Consider the following 15,662-nt stretch of genomic DNA (forward strand, 5'->3'; position numbering starts at 1 on the left):
GCTAATTTGCCCTGTGCTATTCTGCTTAGTACATGCTTGCCACTATTTTATATCATGTATTTGATGTCTGACTTGATGCCTGTAGTTGTTTTCAACTTTTTCTTTTTTACTAGAATAGAAATTCTTTTGCTTTACTTACCTTCCTTACACAACCACACACTGGTATTTCTCACAGGGCTGATGATCAAAAAATGTATATATGTTAAATATTATGAGACTCCCAAAAGACCTCGGGTCATTAGTTTAGTAATTATGTGTAAAACCCTTGGGAAAAATGCTTCAAATTATATGAAGCAGAGAATCTAAGTTTTCTCATAGTATAAGACCTCCCCATTGCATCTAGTTATGGACATGGTATAAAAGTGACATTGCAGCTTCCAAGAATATTCTTTAAAAGACAATGCTCTCTTTTCTCCTCATGATTGGAACTAGAGCAGCTTAAACAAGTGAGAGGACCTCAGAAAGAGAGGCCGTGAAAAGTGAACACAAAACAAACAAATAAAAACAAAAAAATCCAGAGAAAACACTTTGGTGCCCGAGAATTTTATGAAAGAAAATTGGATGGACTGTCTTCCTCTAAAGTTTAATAAACCAAAAACACTTTTTTTCTTTTTTAAGTTATTATATCTTTGGGCCTCCAATATGACAGTTATATTTTTCCTAATTGAAGCACCAAGCACACAGAGTATTTAAAATCAAGGCAAATTCGCCAAACCAGAGAGAGTGGCAAACTGTATGAAGTGGCTAAAGAGATATGCAAGGATCAGGTAGATTTTAATGACTGAAAGTTTTGCTAAGCAGTTTGCAACTGTATCTTAGCCTTGGAGAGAACCATTATCAAAATAAGTCAGAGGGAAAACTAATTGAATTGGCAGAGTAAACAGTGTGACTAAGTTAGATAATGTAAATGGAACGACTTTTGGAAAGTTTAATTCTGAAGGCGTTTGAGAGGACAAAATGACGGAGCTGGATTTCCCAAGTAGTCCACCAATGAGAATGTCAGATGACAATATTGGTTAATAAGATAAAGAGCGTGAAAAAGAACATAGAATAGGCAGATAGAGTTGGTTTCACCATGGTCTTGAAATAAAATTTAGGGGACCTTGGAACCATGTCCCATTTCATATTCCCAAAATAGATGAGATAGCAACCAAAGCTGTAGAAGCAAGAAAGTAATAGGTTTGTTTGCAGGGGATGTAATTTTTTTGGAGCAAAGGCAGGATTATATTATGCCCATTCTGAGAAGATTCTGAAAATGTATGGCGACTTTATTTTAACTAATATCAGGTGTATCAGTGAGCAGATTGAGAAGTGCTTGGGGCGGGGAGATTAGATCAGGGAGGAATGAATAGAAGAGAGCAGTAAAAATGAGAAACCAAGGTGTGATCATTTTAGAGCACTCAAGGATTTAAAAAATTTTAATATGGAAAAGTTATCTGAACTCCAAAAATTCCAGCAGGTTAAGGCTTGATTGATTTGACTTCAGAAGGAAGCTGTTAGGAATATGCTGAGATCTCTGGTGGATGGAATGGGGCATTGAATACCACTGGCAATCCCCAACCAGGAAAGAGTTTAGCCTTTCCCTAGGTTAACAGCGATAACTTATTCATCTATATGTTAGCATATTATGCAAACAGTTCAATATGTTTGGGAAGAAATACTGAAAATCCTTTCTCTATGATAAAGTAAGTTATTTAAATTCTCAAATTATGGATTATCCTCAAATAAGTTTTTTTTCAAATTATAATCCTTCATATTTGTTATGTATTAACCTCTATAATGCATATATACTTATTGAAATTTTGTGTTATTCTTTTTTGATACATAAAGGCATGCAGCAAATAGTATTTCTAATATAAAGACCAGTGAGATATGCAGTTCAAATTTCTTAATAATCAATTTTCTTTGTGATAAATTCTGAAATTGTCATTATAGTACAACAGTGGTTATTTTGCAAACTTTTTCTTATTTCCAGAACAGAACATTATTTATATGCTTATTGAATACAAAAAATGTGTTTATGAGGACTCAAGAATTGCATAGGTTCATGAAATGCATTATCACAGATATAGTGTTTGTATGTCAGAATTTCAGTAAAATTTATCTTAATTTTTCAGTCACACATGCACATACACATAGGCAAAAATGATTATTTCCTTTAATATTAATCATAAAATATTTGCGTGAAAATTACTATTCATATAATTTCAATTGCTTACAGAAAATACAAATGAAGAAAAGAACAGGCATCATACTTCTTTATTTATAACTTATACTTACAGAAAAAGAAAAACATGCATGCTACTTTATTTCAGCTTTTTTCTGATTCTATGTTTTTCAGAGGGTAGTAAAACCACCCCCTGGTGAAATAATGATTTCTCATAGAGTAGGAGGTAAAATACTTCTCTAAAGTTTTTATGAAAGAATAGGAGAGTATGATGTCTGCTTAGAGGCCAAAAATAATCCACCATAAATATAGAATAATAACCAGAAATTCGGAGAAGTACAGGCCTGTGATATGAACACACAGCTATCATTCCTTGAAATGACGATAATAACATACAAAGAAGAATTAACCAAAGTTTATACTTGTTACATTTAGGCCTATTCAAAGTTTGATTCCTGAGCCACGTGCCATTTGCCCATGTATAGAGTAAGGTTTATCCTCTCCTAATGTCGCAGCATATTTTGTGAAAGTAGATTATATTTTAAAGAGCATGGTACGTCTTCTCTGACACCCCTTGACCATTGATTCAAACGATACATATAAGAAATTTTAAAAGTCTTCTTAAAAAGATGGCAAGTTACAATTCAGAAAAGTTTTGTGGATACTAATATTGTAAAGTGATAAAGACTAACAGGAAGTCATTTTTTTCCTAGAATAAATTTATATTTTATGGAGTATGATTGTTTTCATTTATTCTTATTTGTTTCATCTTTCATGTTGATCTGGAGTGAACCAAATTAGAAAAGACCATCTGCTCTCTCATTTCCTCCTGGAAAATCAGAAGAAAAAGACAAGCTCTTTTAAACATCTCCTTAGTTACTACTGTCTTCAACATTTCCCCTAATAATGAGTTTATCACTCACATCTTTAAATAATAATTTCATTGAAATGTAACAGATATTTTAATTATATTTATTCTCCTTTATCACATTCTGGCAAAATTGCTATTGATATTTATGATTATAATTGCATATTTATAAATGTAAATTATAATAACTTATATTTAATCTATTTGCAGTCATATTTTAATAATGAAACCAATTTTTAAAATAAAAGATGAGTTTAATTTAAATATTTCTTTGATAATATGTATATGCAATTTATTTTTTTCTAAAATAATAGGATAATTGATTACATTCCTTCCATTTTTGTTGTATCAAAGTATTCCAAATTATTCAAAATTTATCTGAACTTTTATAATTATATCTGCTTAAATGTGTAGGTTTTTATTGTATTCAAAATTAAATTTGTCTGTTTTTTAAGCAACATAATGTGGCAACCACTATAGAATTCAAAGTACATTGGATTATGAATAGTTTTTATAATCTCTGTGAGAGTATGTTCTTTTATTTTTTTTTACATGAAACAAAGTATCTCAAACAAAATAATTTATCTAGCCATTGTATATTAGGTTGAAATAATGTGGTATAAAATGGGTTAGAATAACCAGTATAATCTATTACAACATTTTAGAAAGCTTCTTGGCTTTCTAAACTGGCTATTGTCTTTATTAAATTTAAATATCAAAATCAATATGCAGTGAATGTAATAGAGAAAAAGCCTTCACAGAATAGAAACAAGATATACTCATTTCACATTATTTATTAAAACAAGCTTTTAACTCTTATTTGGTAATAATCTAAATTATGTGTGATATTAACATATTGAACTTTATTTTCATAATGTTAAATAAATGTAAACATTCTAATTGCAAAAAGAAAAAAGGGAGAAATACTCATTTTAAAAAGCTTTTTTTTATTATTATGATACTTTAAGTTCTAGGGTATGTGTGCACAATGAACAGGTTTGTTACATATATATGTGTCATGTTGTGTGTCATGTTGGTGTGCTACGTTGGTGTCATGTTGGTGTGCTGTGTGTCATGTGCCATATTGGTGTGCTGCCCCTGTTAACTCATCATTTACATTAGGTATATCTCCTAATGCTATCCCTCCCCCTCCCCCCACTGCACGACAGGCCCTGGCGTGTGATGTTCCCCACCCTGTGTCCAAATGTTCTCATTGTTCAATTCCCACCTATGAGTGAGAACATGCGGTGTTTGGTTTTCTGTCCTTGTGATAGTTTGCTAAGAATGATGGTTTCCAGCTTCATCCATGTCCCTACAAAGGACACGAACTCATCCTTTTTTATGTCTGCATAGTATTCCATGGTGTATATGTGCCACATTTTTTAAATCCAGTCTATCATCAATGGACATCTGGGTTGGTTCCAAGTCTTTGCTATTGTGAATAGTGCCACAACAAACATATGTGTGCATGTGTCTTTATAACAGCATGATTTATATTCCTTTGGGTATATACCCAGTAATGGGATGGCTGGGTCAAATGGTATTTCTAGTTCCAGATCCCTGAGGAATCGCCACACTGACTTCCACAATGGTTGAACCAGTTTACAGTCCCACCAACAGTGTAAAAGTGTTCCTATTTCTCCACATCCTCTCCAGCACCTGCTGTTTCCTGACTTTTAAATGATCGCCATTCTAACTGGTATGGGATGGTATCTCATTGCGGTTTTCATTTGCATTTCTCTGATGTCCAGTGATGATAAGCATTTTTTCATGTGTCTGTTGCTGCATAAAGGTCTTCTTTTGAGAAATGTCTGTTCGTATCCTTTGCCCACTTTTTGACGGGGTTGTTTGATTTTTTCTTGTAAATTTGTTTAAGTTCTTTGTAGATTCTGGATATTAGCCCTTTGTCAGATGGTAGATTGTAAAAATTTTCTCCCATTCTGTAGGTTGCCTTTTCACTCTGATGGTAGTTTCTTTTGCTGTGCAGAAGCTCTTTAGTTTAATTAGATCCCATTTGCCAATGTTGGCTTTTGTTACCATTGCTTTTGGTGTTTTAGTCATGAAGTCCTTGACCATGCCTATGTCCTGAATGGTATTGCCTAGGTTTTCTTCCAGTGTTTTTATGGTTTTGGGTTTAACATTTAAGTCTTTAATCCATCTTGAATTAATTTTTGTATAAGGTGTAAGGAAGTGATCCAGTTTCAGCTTTCTACATATGGCTAGCCAGTTTTCCCAGCACCATTTATTAAATAGGGAATCCTTTCCCCTTTCTTGTTTTTGTCAGGTTTGTCAAAGATCAAATGGTTGTAGTTATATGGTATTATTTCTGAGGGCTCTGTTCTGTTCCTGTTTATATCACTGTTTTGGTACCAGTAGAATGCTATTTTGGTTACTGTAACCCTGTAGTATAGTTTGAAGTCAGGTAGTGTGATGCCTCCATCTTTGTTCTTTTTGCTTAATATTGTCTTGGCGATGTGGGCTCTTTTTTGGTTCCATATGAACTTTAAAGTAGTTTTTTTTTTCCAATTCTGCAAAGAAAGTCATTGGTAGCTTGATGGGGATGGCATTGAATCTACAAATTACCTTGGGCAGTAGGGCCATTTTCACGATATTGATTATTCCTATCCATGAGCAAGGAATGTTCTTCCATTTGTTTGTGTCCTCTTTTATTTCGTTAAGCAGTGGTTTGTAGTTCTCCTTGAAGAGGTCCTTCACATCCCTTGTAAGTTGGATTCCTAGGTATTTTATTCTCTTTGAAGCAATTGTGAATGGGAGTTCACTCATGATTTGGCTCTCTGTTTGTCTGTTATTGGTGTACAAGAATGCTTGTGCTTTTTGCACATTGATTTTGTATCCTGAAACTTTGCTGAAGTTGCTTATCAGCTTAAGGAGATTTTGGGCTGAGACGATGGGGTTTTCTAAATATACAATCATGTCATCTGCAAACAGGGACAATTTGACTTCCTCTTTTCCTAATTGAATACCCTTTATTTATTTCTCCTGCCTGATTGCCCTGGCCAGAACTTCCAACACTATGTTGAATAGGAGTGGTGACAGAGGGCATCCCTGTCTTGTGCCAGTTTTCAAATGGAATGTTTCCAGTTTTTGCCTATTCAGTATGATATTGGCTGTGGGTTTGTCATAAGCAGCTCTTATTATTTTGAGATACGTCCCATCAATACCTAATTTATTGAGCTTTTATTGTGAAGGGCTGTTGAATTTTGTCGAAGGCCTTTTCTGCATCTATTGAGGAAATCATGTGATTTTTGTCTTTGTTTTTGTTTATGTGATGGACTACGCTTATTGATTTGTGTATGTTGAAACAGCCTTGCATCCCCAGGTGCAGAAACACACATAGGCTCAAAATAAAGGGATGGAGGAAGATCTACCGAGCAAATGGAAAACAAAAAAGCAGGAGTTTCAATCCTAGTCTCTGATAAAACAGACTTTAAACCAACAAAAATCAAAAGGCACAAAGAAGGCCATTACATAATGGTAAAGGGATCAATTCAACAAGAAGAGCTAACTATCCTAAATATATATACACCCAATACAGGAGCACCCAGATTCATAAACAAGTCCTTAGAGACCTACAAAGAGACTTAGACTCCCACACAATAATAATGGCAGACTTTAACACCCCACTGTCAACATTAGACAGATCAATGAGACAGAAAGTTAACAAGGATATCCAGGAATTAAACTCAGCTCTGCACCAAGCAGACCTAATAGACATCTATAGAACTCTCCCCCTCAAATCAACAGAATATACATTCTTCTCAGCACCACCTTGCACTTATTCCAAAATTGACCACATATTTGGAAGTAAAGCACTCCTCAGCAAATGTAAAAGAACAGAAACTATAACAAACTGTCTCTTAGACCACAGTGCAATCAAACTAGAACTCAGGATTAAGAAACTCACTCAAAACTGTTCAACTACATGGAAACTGAACAATCTGCTCCTGAATGACTACTGGGTACATAACAAAATGAAGGCAGAAATAAAGATGTTCTTTGAAACCAATGAGAACAAAGATACAACGTACCAGAATCTCTGGGACACATTTAAAGCAGTGTGTAGAGGGAAATTTATAGCACTAAATGCCCACAGGAGAAAGCAGGAAAGATCTAAAATTGACACTTTAACATCACAAATAAAAGAACTAGAGAAGCAAGAGCAAATAATCTCAAAAGCTAAGAGAAGGCAATTAGCTAATAATTCCAAATTTCTTCTTAAAAATCATATCTTAAAATAATGATGCTTGCAAAGTATTATTAAAATATCTTAGGAAAATCTAAACAGCATTAAATGAAACAAACATGTCCACTGAAAAGAATATACTGCAGTCACACTAAGTGTATTAGGGATATCCAGAGAAAAAGAACCAATAGGAGACGATAGATAGATGGATAGATAGTTAGATAGATAGATGATAGCTGGTAGATAGAGAGATATATTTAAGGAGGTTTTTAATGGAAAATGGCTCACATGGTTATGGAAGCCAAGAAGTGTCATGATGTGCCATGAGCACAACTGAAGAACCAGAAAAGCCAGTGATGTAGCTGGAAGACCTGAGGATTAGGGGCTTGGGTTGTGAATCCTGGTTTCATTCCAAATGCCCAAGAACCAAGGGCACCTATGGTTGAGAGCCAAGAAAAATGGATGTCTCAGCTCAAACAGAGAGAGTAGTAAATTGGTCATTCGTCTGTCTTTTTTTTTTCTTTTTTGTGTTTGAGCCCTCAAAGGATGGGATAAAGCCCACCCACAATAGTGAGGGATCTTTTTTACTTGATCTACTGATTCAATTGCTAATCTCCTATAGAAACACCTTGACAGAAAGATCCAGAAAAAAAACTGTCAGCTATCTGGGCATCCCTTAACCCAGTCAAGTTGATTTATAAAAATTAACCATCATGCCATGGAAGAAGGATAAGCCCATCAACCCAAATTTGATTTGGATGTCAAGACAGATGATGACACACAGCACCAAGAGGATATGAAGATGACTTTTATTCATGTAATGGTGCTATCTGTGGAAAGCAGAGAAAGCTCCCAAGCAGGTTCAAACATGGCTTGGGAGACAAAGTGAGAGTAAGTGAGATTTTATGGTGATTTTGGATAGAGATGGGAGCTTACACGATTTCCATGATTTGTACTTCCCACCTATGCCAAATGAGGGAGCACCTGGGCTTTCTTATTGACTAGCCCAGGAATGGAGCAAGAGGGAAAGAAGGAGGGATGGGGCTTGAAATCTGTCAGAAAACATAAAAAGTGGAGCCTGCTGATTTATTACAAAAAAAAATTGCACTGTTAACATATAATATATGAAAATAAGATTAAAACTAAAGTTTGATGGATATTTTAGACATAATCTGCAATGCTTTATCACTTCTTAAATATGCATGTTATTCTTTTTGGAATACTTAACTCAGAATGTAAGTGGGTTTTTTTAAAAAAATTAACATATTTTTCTCCTCTAGTGTAACCTTGGGTATAAAATACACTTTCATTATTAACTATAACTTACTCTGCTTGTAGTTTGCAAAAGGGATGGTGAACTATAGTAACAGAAAGGTATCAGATTTTTTTTGAAGGTGGTGGGGTATAAAATACACTGTCATTATTAACTATAACGTACTCTGCTTGTAATTTGCAAAAGCGATGGTGTACTATAGTAACAGAAAAATAACAGATTTTTTTTGAGGTAAGTTAGGTACATGTTTTCATATGTATTCTGGGGGAGTCAGAAGAATGGCCACTATGCTCTTTAAAGGATACTCTTCTCTCACAAAATATGCTGCTACATTAAGAGAGAACAAACCTTACCCTCTGGAGAGTCCACTTAAATTTTAAGTTGCAGCCTATAAAATGTTTGTCCCTCTAAGGATGCCTCCTTTGCTAATAATTTTTAGAGTTTTTTCTTTTTGCTTATCATTATTAACGTCATGGTCACTGATACATTTTTAATGCATGCCCTAAAAAAGGACTATAATGTTTTCAATAGAGGAATGTTACGTTGCCCCCTCCCTTCTGAACACAATTCTTATTTTTTCTGAAACTCTCGAAGGCAAACTGTGAGTCTGTAAGTGGGGCACAGCATTAAAAGCTGAAATGATGGGGTACTATTTAATGCTCATTTTCCTTTTCTTGGATTGTATAGGGCTTTGCTATGGCTAGACATATCTATCTACAAGTATAGACTGACATTGAAGGACCACTGATAAAATAAACTAGCACTTGCAGATCCATCCAATGTCTGAATGACTTGTTAAAATTATCTTGCTTTCCTGACTTTGGTTTCTGATGCTTGAAAACCACGTGCAGTAACTTTCATGCTTACTCAATATGCATGTTGCTGCCACCTTATTATTTCTAAAACTATGAAGTGCAAAATCCTTATGAGATTAAAGCCCCTTGCATGGGTCATTGCCACACCTACACCTGGTCTCTGCTCCTCACTCCTCTCAAAGCTTGTCCTGCTTCAAACAGTTCCCTAGCTACTCTGCCCAAGGGATAGAGAAATGGCTTTCTTTTTTCTCTGCTCTTTGCTGCCCTCACCTGACTGAGACTGTCCTATTAAACATTTTTGAAAAGAGTATGGTTGGGTCAAGGCGTATATGTCCTAAAAACTTTAAACTTCCTTTATTTTTAATAATTACAGAGAGAAACAGACATAGAATAAGAAAAGGCAGAAAAACATAAATAAATACTAAACATAAATTACCACTATAAGATGCTGATCAAATCATATCTAAGAGAATAACTCTGCCCTGTTTAGTGCTGATCCTGAGACCTTGGTTTTGTAATTTCAAAAATTGTGCCCATAGGATTTGTTACTTTCAAGTATATTTTGGTGCATGTTGTTCTGCGTTGTCTTTATTGGTGTTTTGGAAGTTCAGTTAATTATTTTAAATAGTTCATCTTGTGAAAAGGAAAAAAAAACTAATAATCTCAATACCCAAAGATGATATTTATTTACATTTTTCATGGTATTCCCTTTAGTCATAAACATACAAATATTTACATACATATATATAACATGACATCTAAAATATGAAATTATATTAAAATGCCATATATTACATATAAAACGATATGCACATGCATATCTGTATGTTATAATGTTACATATTTCAAAAATGAGGAGACTTTGAAATTATATTTTCAACATTGTGTCTGTGTTCAGGCCATTTTTATGTTGCACATGTTTAGATTCAAATCATCAATTATTCAAACTTGCACAGAAATGCATGACTTAATCTAGATAGCTAGAATTTCACAGTCTTGTTTTATCTACACTGAATGTTACAGACACATAGGTTGGGGAATTACTAGAATCTGAATATCACATATCTTTCTTAATTAAAAGACTTGCTATTTCTCTGAAGGAGAATGGAAACAATATGGGTCCTAGTAGATCTCCATAGAAGAGTGCCAATTAGCCCTTTGACAAAGTTGCTAGGTGCTTCCATGACTAATTTCCATAACTGTTTGAGTGCAGATGAAAATAGTTCTAATATGGCTCAATAGTTGAATATTACAGTTATAAATTCATATAAAACATATTTCATAATATAAACATGGTTAACATTTTGTAATTTTTTTGTACTCAAAAAAGTATAAGTCATCATTTTACTTTCATTAAGTCCCTATTATATTTGAACCGGAACGTGAAAAATACCCACTTTTAAACTAGTCTAAGATAAAAATGAACACCGGAGTCTTTTGTGCTTTTTAATTTTACAGGGAGATTCTGCGCCATAATTTATCCATCTTATTTCCACACAGATCATGGCTTTATACCACTTGTTTCAACAAAATGTGTCTGGAGTTCACAGTGTTGGCAAATGCACCCATTCAGGTGGTTGTGTTACCCAAGTGTAAAATCCTCAGTCTGTGTAAAATAAGAAAACACATTATGACATATTTTACTGCCCAGGATTAGTCTGAAGGTGCCAATGTGTTATTAGCCGAGAATGATGCATGCCAAAAACGACAAAAGTCCAATTGTCAAGGCAAGCACCTGCATCTGTTCACCTGAAGCAATGATTCCTACCTCTCCAATTATTCACAGAAACTTGACTAAGTTCCACTTTACACACTGAAAACTATCCCTGGCCTCCATCTCTCCCCTTGAGCAGACAGTGCCTAGTATGGCACAGGTACCTTAAATTTAACCCAAATGACACTAAATGTCTGCTTTTCCGGTCATACATGATTTAAGGAGGGTGAGAGATCTGATGAGAAAGAAGCAAAACCAGAAAACGTCATTAACTTTTTGCAAAATCCTCCAGGCTTCAATTGGTTCCCAATTTGTTCTCTATTATAAAAAGGTAAAATCTTAAAATGAAACAACAGAAAAAACAAGCATGACTTGCATTGACTACAAGTTAGTGCCTTGATCGTCTCTCCTCTCCATCCGCAATCTGTCCAGCAAAAAAAAAGTAGAGATGGACACAAAGCAGCCTGAGATATGATTGCAATTGTAATTTTTCTGCCTATATCTGCAAAGATTGTCAATTCTTTTAGGACTCAATAGCCACCTTTGGCATGGTAATGTGTACTAATTCATGCTGTTTTAATAGAGAAAGAATACTTCTCTACTAAGGCATTTTTTAATCTACAGCTTAGGACAATTCCATTCCACTTCAATGGAGGAGAGGAATACTTAAAATATAACTCCCTGTTCAAGGAGAAGATATGTGAGGAAAACTTCTTGCTCTCAATTTATTTTTTTAAAACTTTCTAACAAATTTTCAATTAATCTGGTCACCAAGCAACTGATTATATACACCTTCATTAGGAAACTGTTATTCAGAGATAAAGTGGTTTTGTTAATGTTATACAATTTGATAGTAGTCTAGATAGCTCCACCACCCAACTTATCGACATTAGCCCTGCTCTCTTTAGTACAACATGCATCTTACAAGCAAGAGAATGTCTGCTTCATATAAGTAAACTATCTTTAAATATCTGTTACTTATATACACTTTAAAGTTACTAGTTTTATCTAAGGTGAAGCACATACATCTTGCTGAAGGTCTTTTTAACAGATTTATTAGTTTCATATTAATGATTCATTAATTTGTGAACTATAGATTTAAAACATTACCATCAAAGCTAAAAGGAAAAATATATAAACATAATGATAAAAAATTAACATTAAAAATGGATGAAAGATAGATTTATAATACATTAATAAACTATTTTTAAATACAAAAATGAAATTAGTATTAAATGCTCCAGGAAAAGGTAACTGATGTTTTCCAGTCAGTTTAAAAAATGTTATCATATCTCCTAAAATTCTTTCTTTTAGCATTTGAAGTAATGTTTTAAAAAATGCTTAATCCAACTCTCTATATCTGTCAATTAGCATGGAAATTAAAGAACAAAGAGGAGTTCTTAGATCATAACAGTCACCAATTGATTCTCTTTCAAACTGAGAAAAAATATGTTCTCAGTAAAATCACTTTTACTCTGTTTAAAACCTTGTTAAATTTTCTTTTAAGTATTGATCAAATTGTTTGCTTTAGAAGAGATACAGGCCCTTTGAGAAAATGATTTCTCAGATAGGCTCAGAATTTTGTCTCTCAAACCTGTTCTTCTGAAATAGACTGAGAAAATTCTCATTGATAATGAAACAATTAAATTCAAATTTCAGTTCTCAATAGACCTGGCTGGGGGAGATCAAAAGAAGGAGAGAAGCTTGGGTTAAGTTACTAAAGTTGCTGTGAAACTTTCTTCATGCTGGTAGAAATGAAACAGAACAAAACAGAAAGCCATGGGATTTCATGCACAGCTATTCTGTAATTCCTCTCACCATTTTTTAAATGATTGCTGTTTGTTAGAAAAAGATGCAATGTAGAAAAATGCAATTTCAAGAGATATAGAATGAAAATTCCTCCTATGAGAAGGAATTTTAAAAATCACTTATGGAAAAAAAAGCTGTTGTAATTGGAAAACCACTATCTTCTCTATTGTTGCATAAAAACACATATGCAAAACTTAAGAGTAAAACAATAGGAATTTACTATTTCTCGCAAACATTTGTGCTGGCTATGCCATTGAGGGGGTGTTTCCTGAGCTCACTGATGTGGCTGGCTCAACTGGCTTGTTGGTTGGAAGCTGGCCCAGCAGGGAAGGCTGATACTGCTTTCCCCACCTTTTTTGTGTATGTATATTTTTATTTTGCACTGGGCTCCAGAAATTATGCAGCTGGCCCTACAGCCAGGGAAGAACACAGAAGCTAATTTAGGTATGAAGTGATGGTAGGTCTGAACAGAATGGTGGCAGAAGAAGTAGTGCAAAGTGATTTGAATTCTAAATACAGTTATCCACCACATAGTGACATTTTGATCAATGACAGACCGCATATATATGATGGTCCCATAAGATTACAGTATCATATTTTTCCTATAGGTTTTCTATGTTTAGATTTGTTTAGATACACACATGCCCTTGTGTTAGAATTAGTTATGGTATTTAAAACAGTAACATTCTGTATAGGTTTGTAGCTTAGGAGCAATAAGGTATTGCACATTGCCTAGGTAGGTAGTAGGTGATACTATCAGGATTTGTGTAAGTAAACCCTATGGTGTTTGTGCAACAGCAAAATCATATCACTGTGAATTTCTCAGAGTTTATCCCTGTCATCAAGCAATGCATGACTGCATATCTGGACTATCTGGTCATGAGGAACTTATGATGAAATATATGTAGAATACGAAAGAAAATGAGAAGACTTCAGTTTCAAGGTCTGTTGCTCTTCAGATTTACTTTTGTCCTCAAGATAAATGATCTACATGTAGAAATTCAAAGAAACCATACATTTAGTATCATAGCCAAAGTTCATTAAAACTATCGATAACTAAGACAATCACACCAGCAATGTGACTACTTGTTAGTTACTTGGTCTTTCCATACCTCATCATTGAATGTGTAATATGATGTTCTGTTGTAATATTTAAATAAGTTATTTATCTGGCACAGCACTCAAAACATAAAAATTATTATTCTGTATTCTTACCTTACTCCAGTGCAGGAGCAACATTAAGGTTCTTTCCACTCACAATCATCACCTCTTTTGTGCACTCTTTCTCAGGAATACAAACTGTTTTGTTTTTTTTCCCCCAAATCCCTTCTACACTAGCATTTGTCTTAACCATGCCATTTAACCTTGTATTATTCTAATGGGAAGAAATATCAACCAGTGTTCAATATATATTATTTATTCAGCACTAGTCTAGTTGTGGAGATAGGGAGTAATACTTGAAGTTTCCAAGTATAATATCTACTGATTTCTCACTTTCCAAATTCAGTTCCCTGAAAAAATGAACTGTTTATGTCAAAATGCACATACTTTCCTTCTAGTAACCTATGTTTATTTTATTTCATGCCTTGTTCCACCTTCACTGAATGTGGAATCTCCTCTCTGTAATGTGTCCTCTCACTGGTATTTTAATTCCTGATAACCTATATAACTGGACTAAAACCCCTTCCTTTCCTTAGTCCCTCAGACATAGAAGATTAGGATTTTAAAAATGGCCTTGAATTACTATACTCTTAAAGAATAAATATTTTTCCCCAAAGAAGAAAAACAATTTGTTCAGAATTTTTTTTGTCATTAAATTTTATTTGACAGTGTTGAAGAAACTTCATACTTCGTTTTTAATTATAGTAGAACTACTGGGTATTTAATAAATAATTCCTCCATAATTATCTCTAAGATTGTTCCAAATAGGATCAAATGATATCATTACTGATTTTTTTCTTTTATTTAAAATGTTTAATCCTAATTTGGCCATTGTCTAACTCTTGAAATGAGGCAGAGGACCCATAGAGATGAGAATAAAAGGGAATGTTCACCCATTTTGGAGGGATGCTTCTGCAATCATGAAATAATTCATTATGGAATCTGACCAAGACTGCCTTAAGTTTTTGCTTCAGCTTGACTGAAGTTTAAACAGCTTTCTTCCTAACTATAGGCCCCTGACATTCCTTTTTTTTAGGGCATTTACTTTAGAAAACTTGACATTGTAAATTCTTTCTCCGCCTTTGAGATGTAAATCTTCTCCCAGCCTCTGGCCAGTTTCACAACCCAAAAAAATGTTTTTCTCAGGAACCTGGAAGCCAACCCGTTGAAATGGAATCATTTAAAAAGATAATTCCTCTGTCTCACAGTCTCTGTGGAAGGCTAGGCTTCTAACTATGATGGGCACCAATTAGTAAACACAGATGGCATAATCACATTGACCAGCCTCCTCACTAACATTCTCCACTATTTTCCCACGTGCTCACTACACCTTTTGTTTCAATAGAACTAAGTTATCTTGATGCTTATTTCAATAGTTTACAATAAAGTCTTCCCTATCTGTTTAACTTCCCCATACAATTTTTCTTTAACACAGCTCAAGAACTATCTAACCAAGATTAGACAAGAATGAAAAGACATACAGTGTCAGGAACCTGCTGGGGCATCTTTAGGCAATAGGCAAAACAGCCTTACTGAAAACTATTGGAAACAAGTCACATTAGCATTGCGATTGATAAGGAAAAGTCATAGCATTGGGAAAAGGCTTAGATGTCTTGGGAATTAAACAAAAGTATAGAAAATAATGCAAATA

The sequence above is a fragment of the Homo sapiens genome, chromosome 4 (genome assembly GCF_000001405.40).
Source record: "Homo sapiens chromosome 4, GRCh38.p14 Primary Assembly".
In the NCBI taxonomy this organism is placed as follows: domain Eukaryota; kingdom Metazoa; phylum Chordata; class Mammalia; order Primates; family Hominidae; genus Homo; species Homo sapiens.